The 19,688-nt window shown below is 38.9% G+C and overlaps 1 protein-coding gene across 1 annotated transcript; it reads left to right on the top strand.

Moving 5' to 3' along the window:
• Positions 1-925: 925 nt before the first annotated feature.
• Positions 926-19,146, top strand: MS4A5 (membrane spanning 4-domains A5). Its single transcript, NM_023945.3, has 5 exons — positions 926-1,181; positions 2,150-2,278; positions 3,765-3,821; positions 5,119-5,271; positions 19,003-19,146. Exons 1-5 carry the CDS (start codon positions 1,029-1,031, stop codon positions 19,111-19,113), a joined length of 603 nt encoding a protein of 200 aa, NP_076434.2. The 5' UTR covers positions 926-1,028; the 3' UTR covers positions 19,114-19,146.
• The last annotated feature ends 542 nt before the right edge of the window (positions 19,147-19,688 follow it).

A 19,688-nucleotide genomic window follows, 5' to 3' on the forward strand; every position in this document is an offset into this window, starting at 1 on the left:
GCCAACTGCCAGAGACATGACTGAGGCCATCCTAATTCATGTAATTGGACACTCCACCAGGTGACCACAGTTGCATGAGACAGCCTGGTAGAGAAGTGCTGAGCAGCCTTAGATGAGACAGACCACACACAGGACCCACAGATGTGTAAACAAAAGCCGATGGTGGTTGCTGGAACTAACTACATTTTGAGGGATTTGTTACACAGCTAAAGCTACTTAAATCAGGTGGCAAAACCACAAAGTGACAGGAAAAATGGATGTTATCTATACTTCAAGAAGTGGTTAATTTGTTCCGTGGCCTGAGAGATTTTGCGTTCTACCTGTGTCTGAAGATATGGAACTGGAATAAATGTGTATCTAGTTGCCATTTGGTAACTAAAATGTCCTTTTTTTTGAGACAGAGTCTTGCTCTGTTGCCCAGGCTGGAGTGCAGTGGTGCAATTTCAGCTCAAGGAAACCTCCGGCTCCTGGGTTCAAGTGATTCTCATGCCTCAGCCTCCCGAGTAGCTGGGACTACAGGCACGTGCCACCACACCCGGCTAATTTTTTATATTTTTAGTAGAGATGGGGTTTCACCATGTTGGCCAGGCTGGTCTCTAACTCCTGACCTCAGGTGATCCGCCCGCCTCAGCCTCCCAAAGTGCTGGGATTACAGGCGCGAGCCACCATGCGCGGTCCCTAAAATGTCTTTATATGTAGATCATCTAGTCCAATTTGGTCAATGTATATATGAGGAATCAGAAACCAGGAGAGGGGGATGTGACTTGCCAAAAGTCACAGTAAACTCCTAACTAAACCAGGACTACTTGTCAGGTTCTCTGATCCCCAGTCCCAGGCATTTTACTTATAGCCATCTTGGGATCTTGAGCAGTCCTGAGATTCTATGACTCTGTGACTCTATGGTTCTATAATTCCAAGACAAAGCAAACAATTCCAGTGCTCCAGGCAGCCTCAGCACAAGAAAAGAACATGGTCTAGACTGAAGTACCAACTAAATCATCTCCTTTCAAATTATCACCGACACCATCATGGATTCAAGCACCGCACACAGTCCGGTGTTTCTGGTATTTCCTCCAGAAATCACTGCTTCAGAATATGAGTCCACAGAACTTTCAGCCACGACCTTTTCAACTCAAAGCCCCTTGCAAAAATTATTTGCTAGAAAAATGAAAATCTTAGGGGTAAGTAAGACTTGCCCCTATGTATATTTTACTGAGGCAGGGGAAAGGCTAGGGAAATTATCTGTTGGCACATGTTTGAAGGTAGGAGCCTATTCCAATTCTTCTTTAAGACAATGTGAATATAGAGTGTTGGTGGGCCATTTGAGAGAGGATGTTTGAGAAGAACGAATCATGTGGGTCTGGACTTGACAAAAAATGCTATCATTTAGGACTCACCTACTTAAAAAGTGATAGTTGCTATGGCAGTAAATGAGATTACTCAGACTGAGAAGGTGGACTGAGAAGAAGAGAGCAGAGCACATAGACTCACACGTTTTTGTATATTGTATACCTTCCATTTTTGTATATTGTCCTCATTAGTCTTTCCCAGCACTTGTCAAACCACTGCTTGGTGTCACAGTGCATCACATGAGTGGCTCAGAGAGGGAGAGAAAAAAAAAAAAAACCCGAAGAGATGGAGAGTCCTCTGGGCCTGAGAGTGTGACAATACCTCAAGAGGCTCAGAGAATTGGCCATCTCCAGGCAGGGCTCCTCACAGTCCAATTCTGCTTGAGGCCAGCCTGGTATACTCATTTAGAATTCAGTGTTTCTCAGACATTCACATTTATGGGCTAAAGAACTGAAGAACTTATGAAGACACAGGTTTCCCAGCCTCACCTGGAGACCGTTCAGTAAGTATGGGATAGGGCCTGATAGTTCGCATTTCTAGCTCCCAAGTGATCCTGATGTTGCCAATCCATGGACCACATTTTCAGGAGCACTGATTTAGATCATTTTACCTATCACCAAATACCAGATAGAGGAATTAAGAAAGTACCCAGGAGCATCATAAAGGGACTTCTATTATTCTTCCCCTAATTACCAAAGAGAGTAATTGCCAAATCCTTTTGACCAAAAGAAGATATTCTAAACAGAAGGGAAACTATCACTTTGCTTTTCCTCACCATGACTTTTTCCTCTATTTGCAGACTATCCAGATCCTGTTTGGAATTATGACCTTTTCTTTTGGAGTTATCTTCCTTTTCACCTTGTTAAAACCATATCCAAGGTTTCCCTTTATATTTCTTTCAGGATATCCATTCTGGGGCTCTGTTTTGGTGAGTATAGTCAATCAAGTTCAATTTGAAGCCATGCCAACCAGGATGTTAGGGAATTCTTCACAATGAAATAAGCTAGATCCAGTTGTATGACATGCTTTCAAAAGTGCAAAAAACTAACCTTGTTGAAATTATTTCCCCATTAGTTCATCACAGTCACTGATATTCCATCATTAGGTCTTGAAGTTCCTTTGGGAATACTTCTTTTGAGGCTTGCAGTTGTTTATTTGGCTATTCATTCATTTGAAATTAGTTACTATTTATTATAAGCCAGATACACAGAGAAAGGCAATGGGCCTCTCCCCCAAAGACCTCTCAGTCTAGCAAGAAAACATGTAAACAGGTCACTTCAAGTCAGTGTGATAAATGTTATCACAGAGGTGCAGGAAATGCTTATGTAAGCAGAGATGAAGGAGCAATTTATTCTTTACAGAAGTGAAGTGGGAAGGGTTTCTCAGATATACCTTTTGAGCTGCGGAGAGGTATTTATTAAACCCAGTGTAGTCACAATCAATAAACATTAACTTAGGACCTAATTTAGTGCCAGAGAATGGGCAGAGCAATGGCTTCAGGGAAAAGAAAGCAGTGCCTGAGCTCAAGGTCTCAGTTGAGTGAGGAGTCAGACAATTAACACAGGGTGTGATGAGGGAGAATAAACACAGGGGCTGCCTCCATAGGAAAGGCATCAACAAAACAGAGGGGACAACGCCCAGAGACATTTCCAGCTTGACCAAGTTTTAAAGGGTGAATGGTTAATCAGGTGAGGACACACACACAGAAGATGGGAGTTGGGATACCCAAGTGTAAGGATTAGGGATGTCTTGTTGCATGCCAAGGGAGAAATATGAGCACAGGCTGAAGGTATGGGAGAGCATTTTCTATTATGTGAACTATAAGAGTTCAGCACAGGGAGTGAGGATGGAGAGATGAGGCTGGAAAATACCCATGAAGGGGCTGGAAATTTAAACATGGAAGTGCTGTAATCAGATTTGAAATTTCCACTAGACAACAATGCTACCACGTGTGACCCACTTCCAAGAAAAATCTTGGAGATTTTAAGAACTACCAGCACATTCACTGCAACCCCACCTTATGTTCCCATCCAAGAGAACACACTGGATTGCAGTAAGATGGAATCCAATCTTAATGATTATAAACTGACTTGAAATCCCTTTGTCATGAGATCAAAGCTGAGTCCACAATAGCTATAAAAAGAACATGGATGAGTAAACCAAAGCCCTGTACGGTTAAAAAAAATGTTCATGTTCAAATAAATAGTTAGGGCTAAAGGAGATTTCCAGACCAGTGTTTTGTCCACTATTCCATTTGTGGAAAGTCATATAAAGCAACTCACCCTTCTCACTGCCCTGAGGAGTGTGTGAACTTAGAAGGCGGGCCTGTAAAAGAAATGCATAGAGGTCTATTCTGTAAGAACTCAACATCAGCTAAACATGGTCATCATTAACATATTTATTCCTCTTAACAGTTCATTAATTCTGGAGCCTTCCTAATTGCAGTGAAAAGAAAAACCACAGAAACTCTGGTGAGTTATATTCTTACTTTATTAAAAATATATTTTGTAGCCAGTCATGGTGGCTCATACCTGTAATCCCAGCACTTTGGGAGGCCAAGACGGGTGGATCATGAGGTCAGGAGTTCAAGACCAGCCTGGCCAACATGGTGAAACCCCATCTCTACTAAAAATACAAAATTAGCCAGGTGTGGTGGCACACACCTGTAGTCCCAGCTACTCAGGAGGCTGAGGCAGGAGAATTGCTTGTACCTGGGAGGTGGAGGTTGCAAGGAGCCGAGATCGTGCCTGGGCAACGGAAAAGACTCCATCTCAAAAAAAAAAAACAAAAAAAAGTAATGAGTTACATTTTCACTATTTCCACTTTATTAAAAATATATAACTTTCAAATAATTTATCCTGGCCTTGAAAAAAATTTGTAAAATCATTAGGTCACCATAATTCCACAAACTATCAAGTATTAATACCAATAAACAGCATTTGCTTCCTGTTTTCCTAGAATTATAACCCATTATGCTAGAGGAGAAAGTTTCTCTAGGTCATCTAGTTTAGCTCTTATTTTATGTATGAAGACACTGAGGCTTACAATCGTTAAATAGCTTGTCCAAATTCCCAGCCAATTAATGGTAGAATTATTTCAACATTCCAGTTACTTATTCATTCTTTTTTGTTTTCTGGGTATTTACGGCATACCAGGCACTTTGACAGGCACTACTTTGACTCATACGAAAGGCAAACTGTAGACAATCTAATTAAACCATAAACAGAATCTCAAAATAAAGAATACAGTGCTACTGAATGTAAAGTTATAGATAAATTATAAGTAGAATATTTTTACTTTACTCAAAGAATTGAAGACATAAGATATTACTATGCCAACAAAAGATTTTAGCAAAGGACTGAAAATCCTTAGTTTGTCATTTTAGGGAGAAATTAAAAATGGCAGAGAAGTGCAGCATTCAGTTAAACTTAGGAGTCTTAAAATAAAAATGTAAACAGACCATGACTTTCACCAGAAAATCAAAATGCAATTGTTACAGGCACACCCTTCCTCCCAACTGAATAAGAGTTAACTTAGGCATAGAATATGGGGAATGGAAAGGTTACTAAAAGTTCACAAGATCCCCTTATTGTGTAGATGAAGGCCTGAAGCCCAAAGATGTGAAGCAATTCGCACAGGATCACAGAGCTGCCTCGTGGCATTAAGATGCTGTGACTAAAATCCTGCTCTCCATTCTCCGCACTCATTGCTTTGTTTGTAGTACAGGCTGGACCTCAGTCACATTGTTATGTTCTTATTCTATTTCAGATAATATTGAGCCGAATAATGAATTTTCTTAGTGCCCTGGGAGCAATAGCTGGAATCATTCTCCTCACATTTGGTTTCATCCTAGATCAAAACTACATTTGTGGTTATTCTCACCAAAATAGTCAGTGTAAGGCTGTTACTGTCCTGTTCTTGGTAAGTATGTTGCATTTATAGAGTGATGAGTAAAGGGCTTAATAGAAAATATTTATTAGCACTCAATCAGCACCATTCAGATCATGTTGTGGACACATGTATTTTCTTTTACTGACAAACATTTATGAAATCCATAATATTTGATAGACATTACACCAGGCATTGTGGAAGAGAAAAATAAACACATTATAACTCCCACCTTTAGGAATTCACAGGAGCACAAGAGATAAAACATACACAAATCAGTATGATACAAATATAAATCTAAAAAAAAAAGGTACAGCAGTATGGCTGTAGTTTATAGCCCTATATGTACATTAGAATCACAGTGGTGTGTTTTTACAGTTCTTGATTTGGTTTTAACAGGCTGAACTTCCGATAAAGCATGATAAGATTGAAAAGGGGCATTTATTTTAGCTGCCTTCAAAATACCACTAAGATTAGTGTAAAAGAATGTAAAAGGTTTGATCCACATGGAGAGAAAAAGAGAGTTACCAAACACACACAAAAATTGCTGAGGAAATTGAAAACCCACCATCTAAGGCAAAGCAGGGGGAAGTCATATTAGAAGATATTTCTTACAGCAGAGCCTAAGAAATACTTAATATTTGAATGCACCAGGTCCACAGAAAGCAGGACTAAAGAGCAGAAAATAGGGAGACTGATTTTGGTAATGGTTAAGTATGGCTATGTGGATTAACTCTTCTCTGAAAACAGAAGTCTTTTTATTAAAAAACAAAACAACCTTAAAGACATTAAAAAGCTGAAAGGTCAGCTGGAACTACTAGATCAATTTTTAGATGAAAGCCTGCAACCTGAAATTTACAAGTGGAACTCTGAAGAGCATGAAAGCTACTTATGCCTTCAGACCCATTTGCCAGTGATGCTTATTTGGAATCCAATCCCTGGCCCATGTGGACTGAAAGAGAAAGAAGTCAAGGTTTCACATCCACTCAAAGTATAAAGACTTAAGAGAGATTTTCTCCGTATTAAACTAGGTCTTTGATAGGCTACTACGCTCTTCAGGTAAGGGCAAAAAGATATACAACGTACCCTGCCCCAAAATAGCAAAGTCGCTGAACAAAGTTTAAAAAGGAAAAGTATTTGAGAAGTGTGGCCACAAGCCAAACAAACCCCTTGACAACCTCCTTGCACGCCCCAATCCCCACTGACCTTTGCTAGGCATAAACTGGATAAGGCAAGAATGTTTTACCTGAATTTGGTCTTGGTATGTGGTGCCCCTGGTACCTGGCAGAAGCAAAACCGAAGTCTATCTAGGAGAAAAACATTCATTAATCTTAATAAATTCCCATCAAATTTTCCATTGAAAATTAACAGTAAGCACTCAAAAGAGGCCTAAAAAGAAATAAGACAATGCGAATAACAACTAATAGAAACAGAACATAGCAAAAAAAAAATCACCTGTAAATTTCTGATACTAAGTATATTAGAAGAGATTTTAAAACCACAATATTTATCATGTTTTAAGAAATAAATGAGGGGGGAGGAGCCAAGATGGCCAAATAGGAACAGCTCCGGTCTACAGCTCCCAGCGTGAGAGACGCAGAAGACGGGTGATTTCTGCATTTCCATCTGAGGTACCCGGTTCATCTCACTAGGGAGTGCCAGACAGTGGGCGCAGGTCAGTGGGTGCGTGCACCCTGCGCGAGCCGAAGCAGGGCGAGGCATTGCCTCACTTGGGAAGCGCAAGGGGTCAGGGAGTTCCCTTTCTGAGTCAAAGAAAGGGGTGACGGACGGCACCTAGAAAATCGGGTCACTCCCACCCGAATACTGCGCTTTTCCGACGGGCTTAAAAAACGGCGCACCACGAGATTATATCCCGCACCTGGCTCGGAGGGTCCTATGCCCACGGAGTCTCGCTGATTGCTAGCACAGCAGTCTGAGATCAAACTGCAAGGCGGCAGCAAGGCTGGGGGAGGGGCGCCCGCCATTGCCCAGGCTTGCTTAGGTATACAAAGCAGCTGGGAAGCTCCAACTGGGTGGATCCCACGACAGCTCAAGGAGGCCTGCCTGCCTCTGTAGGCTCCACCTCTGGGGGCAGGGCACAGACAAACAAAAAGACAGCAGTAACCTCTGCAGACTTAAATGTCCCTGTCTGACAGCTTTGAAGAGAGCAGTGGTTCTCCCAGCTGGAGATCTGAGAACGGGCAGACTGCCTCCTCAAGTGGGTCCCTGACCCCTGACCCCCGAGCAGCCTAACTGGGAGGCACCCCCCAGCAGGGGCACACTGACACCTCACACGGCAGAGTACTCCAACAGACCTGCAGCTGAGGGTCCTCTCTGTTAGAAGGAAAACTAACAAACAGAAAGGACATCCACACCAAAAACCCATCTGTACATCACCATCATCAAAGACCAAAAGTAGATAAAACCACAAAGATGGGGAAAAAACAGAACAGAAAAACTGGAAACTCTAAAAAGCAGAGTGCCACTCCTCCTCCAAAGGAATGCAGTTCCTCACCAGCAACGGAACAAAGCTGGATGGAGAATGACTTTGACGAGTTGAGAGGAGGCTTCAGACGATCAAATTACTCTGAGCTATGGGAGGACATTCAAACCAAAGGCAAAGAGGTTGAAAACTTTGAAAAAAATTTAGAAGAATGTATAACTAGAATAACCAATACAGAGAAGTGCTTAAAGGAGCTGATGGAGCTGAAAACCAAGGCTCGAGAACTACGTGAAGAACGCAGAAGCCTCAGGAGTCGATGCGATCAACTGGAAGAAAGGGTATCAGCGATGGAAGATGAAATGAATGAAATGAAGCGAGAAGGGAAGTTTAGAGAAAAAAGAATAAAAAGAAATGAGCAAAGCCTCCAAGAAATATGGGACTATGTGAAAAGACCAACTCTACATCTGATTGGTGTACCTAAAAGTGATGGGGAGAATGGAACCAAGTTGGAAAACACTCTGCAGGATATTATCCAGGAGAACTTCCCCAATCTAGCAAGGCAGGCCAACGTTCAGATTCAGGAAATACAGAGAACGCCACAAAGATACTCCTCGAGAAAAGCAACTCCAAGACACATAATTGTGAGATTCACCAAAGTGGAAATGAAGGAAAAAATGTTAAGGGCAGCCAGAGAGAAAGGTTGGGTAACCCTCAAAGGGAAGCTCATCAGACTAACAGTGGATCTCTCGGCAGAAACCCTACAAGCCAGAAGAGAGTGGGGGCCAATATTCAACATTCTGAAAGAAAAGAATTTTCAACCCAGAATTTCATATCCAGCCAAACTAAGCTTCATAAGTGAAGGAGAAATAAAATACTTTACAGACAAGCAAATGCTGAGAGATTTTGTCACCACCAGGCCTGCCTTACAAGAGCTCCTGAAGGAAGCACTAAACATGGAAAGGAACAACTGGTACCAGCCGCTGCAAAATCATGCCAAAATGTAAAGACCATCGAGACTAGGAAGAAACTGCATCAACTAACGAGCAAAATAACCAGCTAACATCATAATGACAGGATCAAATTCACACATAACAATATTAACTTTAAATGTAAATGGACTAAATGCTCCAATTAATAGACACAGACTGGCAAATTGGATAAAGAGTCAAGACCCATCAGTGTGCTGTATTCAGGAAATGCATCTCATGTGCAGAGACACACATAGGCTCAAAATAAAAGGATGGAGGAAGTTCTACCAAGCAAATGGAAAACAAAAAAAGGCAGGGGTTGCAATCCTAGTCTCTGATAAAACAGACTTTAAATCAACAAAGATCAAAAGAGACAAAGAAGGCCATTACATAATGGTAAAGGGATCAATTCAACAAGAAGAGCTAACTATCCTGAATATATATGCACCCAATACAGGAGCACCAAGATTCATAAAGCAAGTCCTGAGTGACCTACAAAGAGACTTAGACTCCCACACATTAATAATGGGAGACTTTAACACCCCACTGTCAACATTAGACAGATCAACGAGACAGAAAGTCAACAAGGATACCCAGGAATTGAACTCAGCTCTGCACCAAGCAGACCTAATAGACATCTACAGAACTCTCCACGCCAAATCAACAGAATATACATTTTTTTCAGCACCACACCACACCTATTCCAAAATTGACCACATATTGGGAAGTAAAGCTCTCCTCAGCAAATGTAAAAGAACAGAAATTATAACAAACTATCTCTCAGACCACAGTGCAATCAAACTAGAACTCAGGATTAAGAATCTCACTCAAAACTGCTCAACTACATGGAAACAGAACAACCTGCTCCTGAATGACTACTGGGTACATAATGAAATGAAGGCAGAAATAAAGATGTTCTTTGAAACCAATGAGAACAAAGACACAACATATCAGAATCTCTGGGATGCATTCAAAGCAGGATGTAGAGGGAAATTTAAAGCACTAAATGCCCACAAGAGAAAGCAGGAAAGATCCAAAATTGACACCCTAACATCACAATTAAAAGAACTAGACAAGCAAGAGCAAACACATTCAAAAGCTAGCAGAAGCCAAGAAATAACTAAAATCAGAGCAGAACTGAAGGAAATAGAGACACAAAAAACTCTTCAAAAAATTAATGAATCCAGGAGCTGGTTTTTTGAAAGGATCAACAAAATTGATAGACTGCTAGCAAGACTAATAAAGAAAAAAAGAGAGAAGAATCAAATAGACGCAATAAAAAATGATAAAGGGGATGTCACCACCGATCCCACAGAAATACAAACGACCATCAGAGAATACTACAAACACCTCTACGCAAATAAACTAGAAAATCTAGAAGAAATGGATAAATTCCTCGACACATACACTGTCCCAAGACTAAACCAGGAAGAAGTTGAATCTCTGAATAGACCAATAACAGGAGCTGAAATTGTGGCAATAATCAATAGCTTACCAACCAAAAAGAGTCCAGGACCAGATGGATTCACAGCCGAATTATACCAGAGGTACAAGGAGGAACTGGTACCATTCCTTCTGAAACTATTCCAATCAATAGAAAAAGAGGGAATCCTCCCTAACTCATTTTATGAGGCCAGCATCATTCTGATACCAAAGCCGGGCAGAGACACAACCAAAAAAGAGAATTTTAGACCAATATCCTTGATGAACATTGATGCAAAAATCCTCAATAAAATACTGGCAAACTGAATCCAGCAGCACATCAAAAAGCTTATCCACCATGATCAAGTGGGCTTCATCCCTGGGATGCAAGGCTGGTTCAATATATACAAATCAATAAATGTAATCCAGCATATAAACAGAGCCAAAGACAAAAACCACATGATTATCTCAATAGATGCAGAAAAAGCCTTTGACAAAATTCAACAACCCTTCATGCTAAAAACTCTCAATAAATTAGGTATTGATAGGACGTATTTCAAAATAATAAGAGCTATCTATGACAAACCCACAGCCAATATCATACTGAATGGGCAAAAACTGGAAGCATTCCCTTTGAAAACTGGCACAAGACAGGGATGCCCTCTCTCACCACTCCTATTCAACATAGTGTTGGAAGTTCTGGCCAGGGCAATTAGGCAGGAGAAGGACATAAAGGGTATTCAATTAGGAAAAGAGGAAGTCAAATTGTCCCTGTTTGCAGATGACATGATTGTATATCTAGAAAACCCCATTGTCTCAGCCCAAAATCTCCTTAAGCTGATCAGCAACTTCAGCAAAGTCTCAGGATACAAAATCAATGTACAAAAATCACAAGCATTCTTATACACCAACAACAGACAAACAGAGAGCCAAATCATGAGTGAACTCCCATTCACAATTGCTTCAAAGAGAATAAAATACCTAGGAATCCAACTTACAAGGGATGTGAAGGACCTCTTCAAGGAGAACTACAAACCACTGCTCAAGGAAATAAAAGAGGATACAAACAAATGGAAGAACATTCCATGCTCATGGGTAGGAAGAATCAATATCGTGAAAATGGCCATACTGCCCAAGGTAATTTACAGATTCAATGCCATCCCCATCAAGCTACCAATGACTTTCTTCACAGAATTGGAAAAAACTATTTTAAAGTTCATATGGGACCAAAAAAGAGCCCACATCGCCAAGTCAATCCGAAGCCAAAAGAACAAAACTGGAGGCATCACACTACCTGACTTCAAACTATACTACAAGGCTACAGTCACCAAAACAGCATGGTACTGGTACCAAAACAGAGATATAGATCAATGGAACAGAACAGAGCCCTCAGAAATAACGCCGCATATCTACAACTATCTGATCTTTGACAAACCTGAGAAAAACAAGCAATGGGGAAAGGATTCCCTATTTAATAAATGGTGCTGGGAAAACTGGCTAGCCATATGTAGAAAGCTGAAACTGGATCCCTTCCTTACACCTTATACAAAAATCAATTCAAGATGGATTAAAGACTTAAACGTTAGACCTAAAACCATAAAAACCCTAGAAGAAAACCTAGGCAATACCATTCAGGACATAGGCATGGGCAAGGACTTCATGTCTAAAACACCAAAAGCAATGGCAACAAAAGACAAAATTGACAAATGGGATCTAATTAAACTAAAGAGCTTCTGCACAGCAAAAGAAATCACCATCAGAGTGAACAGGCAAGCTACAAAATGGGAGAAAATTTTTGCAACCTACTCATCTGACAAAGGGCTAATATCTAGAATCTACAATGAACTCAAACAAATTTACAAGAAAAAAACAAACAACCCCATCAAAAAGTGGGTGAAGGACATGAACAGACACTTCTTAAAAGAAGACATTTATGCAGCCAAAAAACACATGAAAAAATGCTCACCATCACTGGCCATCAGAGAAATGCAAATCAAAACCACAATGAGATACCATCTCACACCAGTTAGAATGGCAATCATTAAAAAGTCAGGAAACAACAGGTGCTGGAGAGGATGTGGAGAAATAGGAACACTTTTACACTGTTGGTGGGACTGTAAACTAGTTCAACCATTGTGGAAGTCAGTGTGGCAATTCCTCAGGGATCTAGAACTGGAAATACCATTTGACCCAGCCATCCCATTACTGGGTATATACCCAAAGGACTATAAATCATGCTGCTATAAAGACACACGCACACGTATGTTTATTGCGGCATTATTCACAATAGCAAAGACTTGGAACCAACCCAAATGTCCAACAATGATAGGCTGGATTAAGAAAATGTGGCATATATACACCATGGAATACTATGCAGCCATAAAAAATGATGAGTTCATGTCCTTTGTAGGGACATGGATGAAATTGGAAATCATCATTCTCAGTAATCTATCGCAAGAACAAAAAACCAAACACCGCATATTCTCACTCATAGGTGGGAATTGAACAATGAGATCACATGGACACAGGAAGGGGAATATCACACTCTGGGAACTGTTATGGGGTGGAGGGAGGGGGGGAGGGATAGCATCGGGAGATATACCTAATGCTAGATGACGAGTTAGTGGGTGCAGGGCACCAGCATGGCACATGTATACATATGTAACTAACCTGCACAATGTGCACATGTACCCTAAAACTTAAAGTATAATAAAAAAAAAGAAAAAGAAAAAGGCCATTAAAAAAAAAAAGAAAAAAAAAGAAAGGAGATAAGCCAATAGTTTTCCAAGCTGACTTAGAAACTCGACAAAAAAAATGGGTATATCCTTACTATTTGTCAGCATAACCTACCTTCTCTTATTATCTGTCAGTCTGAAATACTCCTCAATAATAAAAATGTCAAGACTTGAAAAAAAAAAAGAAAGAAATGATAAACTTTAAAATACCTCAGGGAATATAAAATAAAAGAAAGTGAACTAGAAGATTTTCTGTGTAAAACTATTATGTACCCATAAAAATAGAAAATTAAAAAATTTAAAATTTTAAAAAAAGATGGTCCCAGTAAATAAGAGTTTAAAAAACAAAACACAACTGCATTCTGTTTACAAGAAACAGCTACACTAGTAACAAACAAATAGATTTAAGGCAAGAAGCATTGCTAAACGTATAATAGGGGACTTTCTATAATAAAAGGGTCGATTCACAAGAGAAATATTACATTTCTAGGTTTGAATGCTCCTAATAACAACTCAAAGCCAAAAGGAAAAGCTAACTCAGCTGAATGAGTAGAGAAAGCTAAAATCATCATAAGAAATTTTAGCACACATTTCTCAGCAACTGAAAGAATATGTAGACAGACCATAAAATTACAGAATTTTGAATACAATTGATAAAATTGACCTAAATGTCATATATAGAATGAACACTACACCAAATAACTACAATTATAATACTGTCAACTGACATTTTTAATTGACAGATAAAATTATATGTATTTATCATGTATAACATATTTTGAAGTACATATATGCATTGTGGAATGTTTACATCTAGCTAATTAACAAAGGCATTACCTCCCATAGTTATCACTTTTGCAGTGAGAACACTTAACATTCACTATCTTTGCACTTTTAAGAATACAATAGCCATCATTCTCAGCAAACTAAGACAGGAACAGAAAACCAAACACCTTATGTTCTCACTCATAAGTGAGAGTTGAACAATGAGAAGACATGGACACAGGGAAGGGAATATCACACACCAAGGCCTGTTGGGGGGTAGTGGGACAAGGGGAGGGAGAGCTTTAGAACAAATACCTAATGCGTGTGGGGCTTAAAACCTCGATGACAGGTTGATAAGTGCAGCAAACCACCATTGCACATGTATACCTGTGTAACCTGCACGTCCTGCACATGTATCCCAGAACTTAAAGTAAAATAATAATAAAAAAAGAATACAATATACTGTCATTAACTATGGGCACCCCGCTGTACAACAGATCTCTTGAACTTATTCCTCCTATCTAACTAACTGATGGAAGTGATAAGACAATAGAATTACATCTTTAAAGTGCTCAAACAAAATAATGCCAACCCAGAATTCTAGGCCTGGTGAAAATGTTCTTCAAAAATGAAAGTGAAATAGCCAGGCGCAGTGGCTCAGGCCTGTAATCCCAGGACTTTGGGAGGCCAAGGTGGGCAGATCACTTGAGGTCAGGAGTTTGAGACCAGGCTGGCCAACATGGTGAAACACCATCTCTACTAAAAATACAAAAATTAGCAGGGCATGGTGGTGGGCAGCTTTAATCCCAGCTACTCGGGAAGCTGAGGCAGGAGAATCACTTGAACCTGGGAGGCGGAAGTTGAAGTGAGCCGGGACTGCACCACTGCACTCCAGCCTGGGCAGCAGAGCAAGACTCCGTCTCAAAAACAACAACAACAACAAAAACACAATGAAAGTGAAATAAAAACAACTGAAAAAATTGACAGATTTCACTTAGAACATTTTCAAGAATTAGCCATGTGCTGAGCCTACAAGCCTCAACAAAATTCAAAGAATTGAAATCATATACAGTATATTGTCTGAAAACAATGGAATTGAATTAAATGTCAATTTTAAAAAGGCAAAAAAAAAATCCCCAAAACTGTTTTGAAATTCTAAGTTATACAAGGCTCAAAGAATTTACAACAGACATAAAAAAATTAAAAACAAAATAATAGAAATATTTATATAAATTGATTACAACTAAAGTGTGCTTAGAGGAAACTTTACGACCTCAAAGGCAAGTATTGGGAAGGAAAATAGACTAAAAAGTAAATTATCTAAATATTCATACCAAGAAATTAGATTAAAAAATTAAATTTAAAGAAAATGAAAGAATTGAGATATAGTATTCTATAATAGACATAACAAAGAATAGAGATAAAAACTAATGAAATACAACACAAACCATGGATAAGATAAAATAAAGCTAAAATATGGATGTTTGAAAAACTAATAAAATTGGTAAACCCCTAGATATTTAAAAAGAAAAAAGAGAAAACACAAACTATCATTATCAGAAATGAAGGTGTATCACTATCAATACAATAGCCAAGAACATATGAGGAAATTATTAACATAAAAATTATTTGATGCATTAGATGATTGTTTCCTTATAAAACCTACCTACCAAAACTATGCAAAACCACCCGCCATGACTAACACAGGAAAAAATGTATATATCTGATTGGGCTTATATCTAATAAAAAATCAAATACATAATTTAAAACTTTCTCTCAAAAAAGAAAAAGCAAAGCCTTGCAGGAGCAGACTAATTTCTTCCAAACATTTAGAAAAGAAACAACACCAAACTGAATACTTTCAGTTCACTTCCCAACTCACGAGTATTCATGTGAGGCTGTCACAAGTTTGACATGAAAACATAAGGACATTATAAAATATTTAAAAATTACGGGTAACTCTATCTTGTAAACTTTGTGAAGAAATCTGAAATAAAATATTAACAAAATCAAATTCAGCATAATATATGATAATATACCGTGGCCAAGTCAGTGGATATCAGAAGTACACAATTGATTTCACATTCAAACATCAATCAGTGATACACCTAAATGTGAAATCCTAAACTATAAAGCTTGAGTGGGTGGGCTGCAGGGAACTTAGGAGAATATCTTCACGACCATGGTAGTAGACAAAGCTTTCTTAGATAAAACATAAAAGGGACTAAATATAGGGGAAAAATAAAATAAAATGGACTACCAAAGCACAGAAAGGGAGAAAATTTCCTCTCTCTATATATATCTCTCTCTCACAAAAGACCCACATCCAGAATATATTAAGCACTCCTGAAAATCAATAATAAAAAGGCCAAAAAAAGATTAAGACTTGAGCAAGCAGTTCACAAAGAAAGATAGATAAATGGCTAGTGAGCATATGAGAACGTGCTCAACATTATTAATCATCAGATAAATGCAAATTAAAATCACAATAAGACACTACTCCACACACACCAGAATCATTTTAATTAAAAGGACCACCAATACCGGGTGTTGGAAGGAATGTGAAGCAACTGGAACTCTCATACCCTTTTGATGGAAATGGGAAACGGAAAATGGTTCAACCACCTTGGAAAACTATTGGGTGGTTTTTTAAAAAGTTAATCATACACCTACTTTATGTCTCATGATATAGACAAAAATGTTTATAGCAGTCCTATTCATTATAGTTAAACTGATAAGGAACTCAAATTTCTATCAACAACAAAATGGCTAATTATTCAAATAATAGAATACTTCTCAGCAATATAAAAGAACAACCTACTGACACAGAGGAGCATGAATGAATTTCAATTTATTATACCGAGGCAAACAATTTCAGATAAAAAATAAACAGGCAAATTTAACACATGATGCTAGAAATCAGAAGGGTGGTTGACTCTCAATAGGGTGGGAGGATTGATTGGGAAGGGACACAAGAGAACCTACTGGGGTGATAAAAATGTGATATATCTTGACGTGGAAAGAAAAAGAGATAAAAGACATTTCTTCTTTTTTTTTTTTGAGATGAAGTCTCACTCTGTTGCCCAGGCTGGTGTGCAGTGATGTCATCTCGGCTTACTGCAACCTCCATCTCCCAGGTTCAAGTGATTCTCCTGTCTCAGCCTCCCGAGTAGCTGAGATTACAGGCTCATGCTGCCATGCCCAGCTAATTTTTTGTATTTTAGTAAAGATGGGGTTTCAGCATGTTGCCCAGGCTGGTCTCAAACTCCTGAGCTCAGGCAATCCACCAGCCTCGGCCTCCCAAAGTGCTAGGATTACAGGCATGAGCTGGCGCAACCAGCCAAAATACACTTCTTTATATATAAACTTTGATATAGTTAAAAATGGAAAATATAGTTTTAAAGCAGATAACAGCAACATTTTCATGTGTTTATATACAGAGTGCATATAACTGACAAGAAGTCAAGAAAAAATTTTCTTTTTAAAAGATAAAGAATATGAGGAAAGAATTTACAAAAAGGAAACTACAATGGCCAAACATACAATAATGCTCCAATTCACTAATAGTCAGGGAAATGTCAATTAATTTAACAATGAACTAATATTTACATCACTAGACTGGCAAAAATTAATGAGTTATAATTTATGGCTGGTATTTATCACTGGTGAAAACAATGTTCTTGTATATCAGGACTAGAAGTGTGCAATGTCACTGCCATTTTGGGAAGCAAGGATACAACATTTACCTACCTGAATGATAAACAGACCTTTTAACCCAGATGTCTATCTCTACAGTAATTAAACCACCTGTATATAATGGTATATGTACAACAATGCTATTGCAGCATTGTTCAGAGGGGTAAAACAAACAAACAAAAAAACACAGAAAAAAAGAGGAAATCAATCAGTTCCTGTCACAAAAGAATAAATGAATGATGACAAACTACACCATGAAATATTAAGTGGCCATTAAAAACCATGTGGCTCTAAAATAGCTCTTCAATCTATAGTTAAAATATAGTAGACAAATAAGGCTTCAGGAGAGGATGTTAACCATATTAACCTTTGCAACCTAAGTATAAAGTAAAGCTCTCAGAAGACTGCAAACTTTAACTGGTAAGTGCAGGTCTGCAGCCTCTGGGCTACTGACAAGATGTGTATCTCTATTTGTGCTCATAGTTGCCAAAATACAAAATATTTTGAAGGTCTTTTGCTGTGATTGAAAAAAACACAGGTGGGGCCGGGCCATGGTGGCTCATGCCTGTAATCCCAGCACTTTGGGAGGCCAAGGTGGGCAGATCACCTGAAGTCAGGAGTTCAGCGCTGCCAACATGGCGAAACCCCGTCTCTACTAAAAACACAAAAACTAGCCGGGTTTGGTGGTGGGCACCTGTAATCCCAGCTACTCGGGAGGCTGAGGCAGGAGAATCGCTTGAACCTGGGAGTTGGAGGTTGCAGTGAGCCGAGATCCTGCCATTGTACTCCAGCCTGGCTGATAAGAGTGAAACTCCGTCTCAAAAAAAAAAAAAAGACAAAAAAGAAACCAAAAAAACGGTGAACTACTAGCGTATGCTTCTTATGTCTCTTTCGCTTTCTCTTTTACTAAGCCAATAGTTTTCTTTTTTCCCTCTTTTTCTTTTCTATTTTTAGTTCTTTTTCCTGTTTCTTCACCTTCTTTCTTTCCCCTTCATTAGACCACCTTTTATATATGCATTTCTTTGCATTTTATGCATTTATAAAATGGACTATTTCCTACATATATAAATCAAAAATGTATTTTTATATGCCTTTCTCTAAAAAGATAATATGCTATGCTATGCTATGCTATGCTATCCCATGCTATGCTATGCTATGCTATCCTATGCTATGCTAGCTATGCTATGCTATGTTAGCTATCCTATGCTATCCTATGCTATGCTATGCTATGCTATGCTATCCTATGCTATCCTATGTTATGCTATGCTATGCTATCCTATGCTATGCTATCCTATGCTATGCTATGCTATCCTATGCTATGCTATGCTATCCTATACTATGCTATGCTATCCTATGGTATCCTATGCTATGCTATGCTATGCTATCCTATGCTGTGCTATGCTATGCTATGCTATGCTATGCTATGCTATGCTATGCTATGCTATGCTATGCTATGCAATGCAGTGCTATGCTATCCTATGCTGTGCTGTACTATGCTATGCTATCCTAGGCTATGCTATGCTATGCTATCCTATTCTATGCTATGCTATCCTATGCTTAAATAGATGCATACTCTGAAAATCCTTCACTGATTTGATTCCTAAGCATCAGATACACTTGAGATATTTGGGGAAGCTTTTATTATCTGGGCATCACTATGTCATTATAATCAGGAAAACCGTTACTGTGCCAACATCATGACTCTTCATTTTTTTTTCTTCTTCTTCTATTACAGGGAATTTTGATTACATTGATGACTTTCAGCATTATTGAATTATTCATTTCTCTGCCTTTCTCAATTTTGGGGTGCCACTCAGAGGATTGTGATTGTGAACAATGTTGTTGACTAGCACTGTGAGAATAAAGATGTGTTAAAATATTATGTAGCAATGACTTCTGCTTGTAAGGGAAAGCCAAAGGACACATAGAATCTTAAGGCTGGGAACTCTTTGAAGCAAAGGGGAGTGGCTCAAGTGAAGGGGTTCTGGGGACATTTTGACTGATAAAGCACATTCTGCCTCTTGGCAATGCCATCTGCACCTCTCCCCAAATCAAATGGTCACCTTGGTGTTGTCACCTCTGTTAGTCATGCATTATTTCAACTAAAGGACAGCAATGTGGTGTTGCAAAGATAGGAACCAAAGCCCAAGGCCTGGGGTGACCCAGTCATCTAACTTCTCTGGTTGATGACATCTCCTGTTGATTTCACTAAGAGACTCCACCCAGTGGCTCCTACTCCAGTGGTGTGTGGAAAGATGAGCTGGTTGGTGGAATGGTTTGGCCCATAAATTCTACATTAATGCTGCAAGATCATCAATGTTAAAGAGCTGATCAACTAGAATACTAACAATAGTAAAAATAATGAAGGCAAATATTGGTGGAACCACTACTATATTCCAGGCATCATTCTAAGTATTATAT

The sequence above is a fragment of the Homo sapiens genome, chromosome 11 (assembly GCF_000001405.40).
Source record: "Homo sapiens chromosome 11, GRCh38.p14 Primary Assembly".
NCBI lineage: Eukaryota > Metazoa > Chordata > Mammalia > Primates > Hominidae > Homo > Homo sapiens.

Bases quoted from the DNA above. Each gene is read 5' to 3' on its own strand.
- MS4A5 (NM_023945.3), top strand. From the start codon at position 1,029: ATGGATTCAAGCACCGCACACAGTCCGGTGTTTCTGGTATTTCCTCCA. The intron at 1,182-2,149 runs GTAAGTAAGACT...CTCTATTTGCAG, and splicing joins GAAAAATGAAAATCTTAGGG to ACTATCCAGATCCTGTTTGG. The intron at 2,279-3,764 runs GTGAGTATAGTC...TCCTCTTAACAG, and splicing joins CATTCTGGGGCTCTGTTTTG to TTCATTAATTCTGGAGCCTT.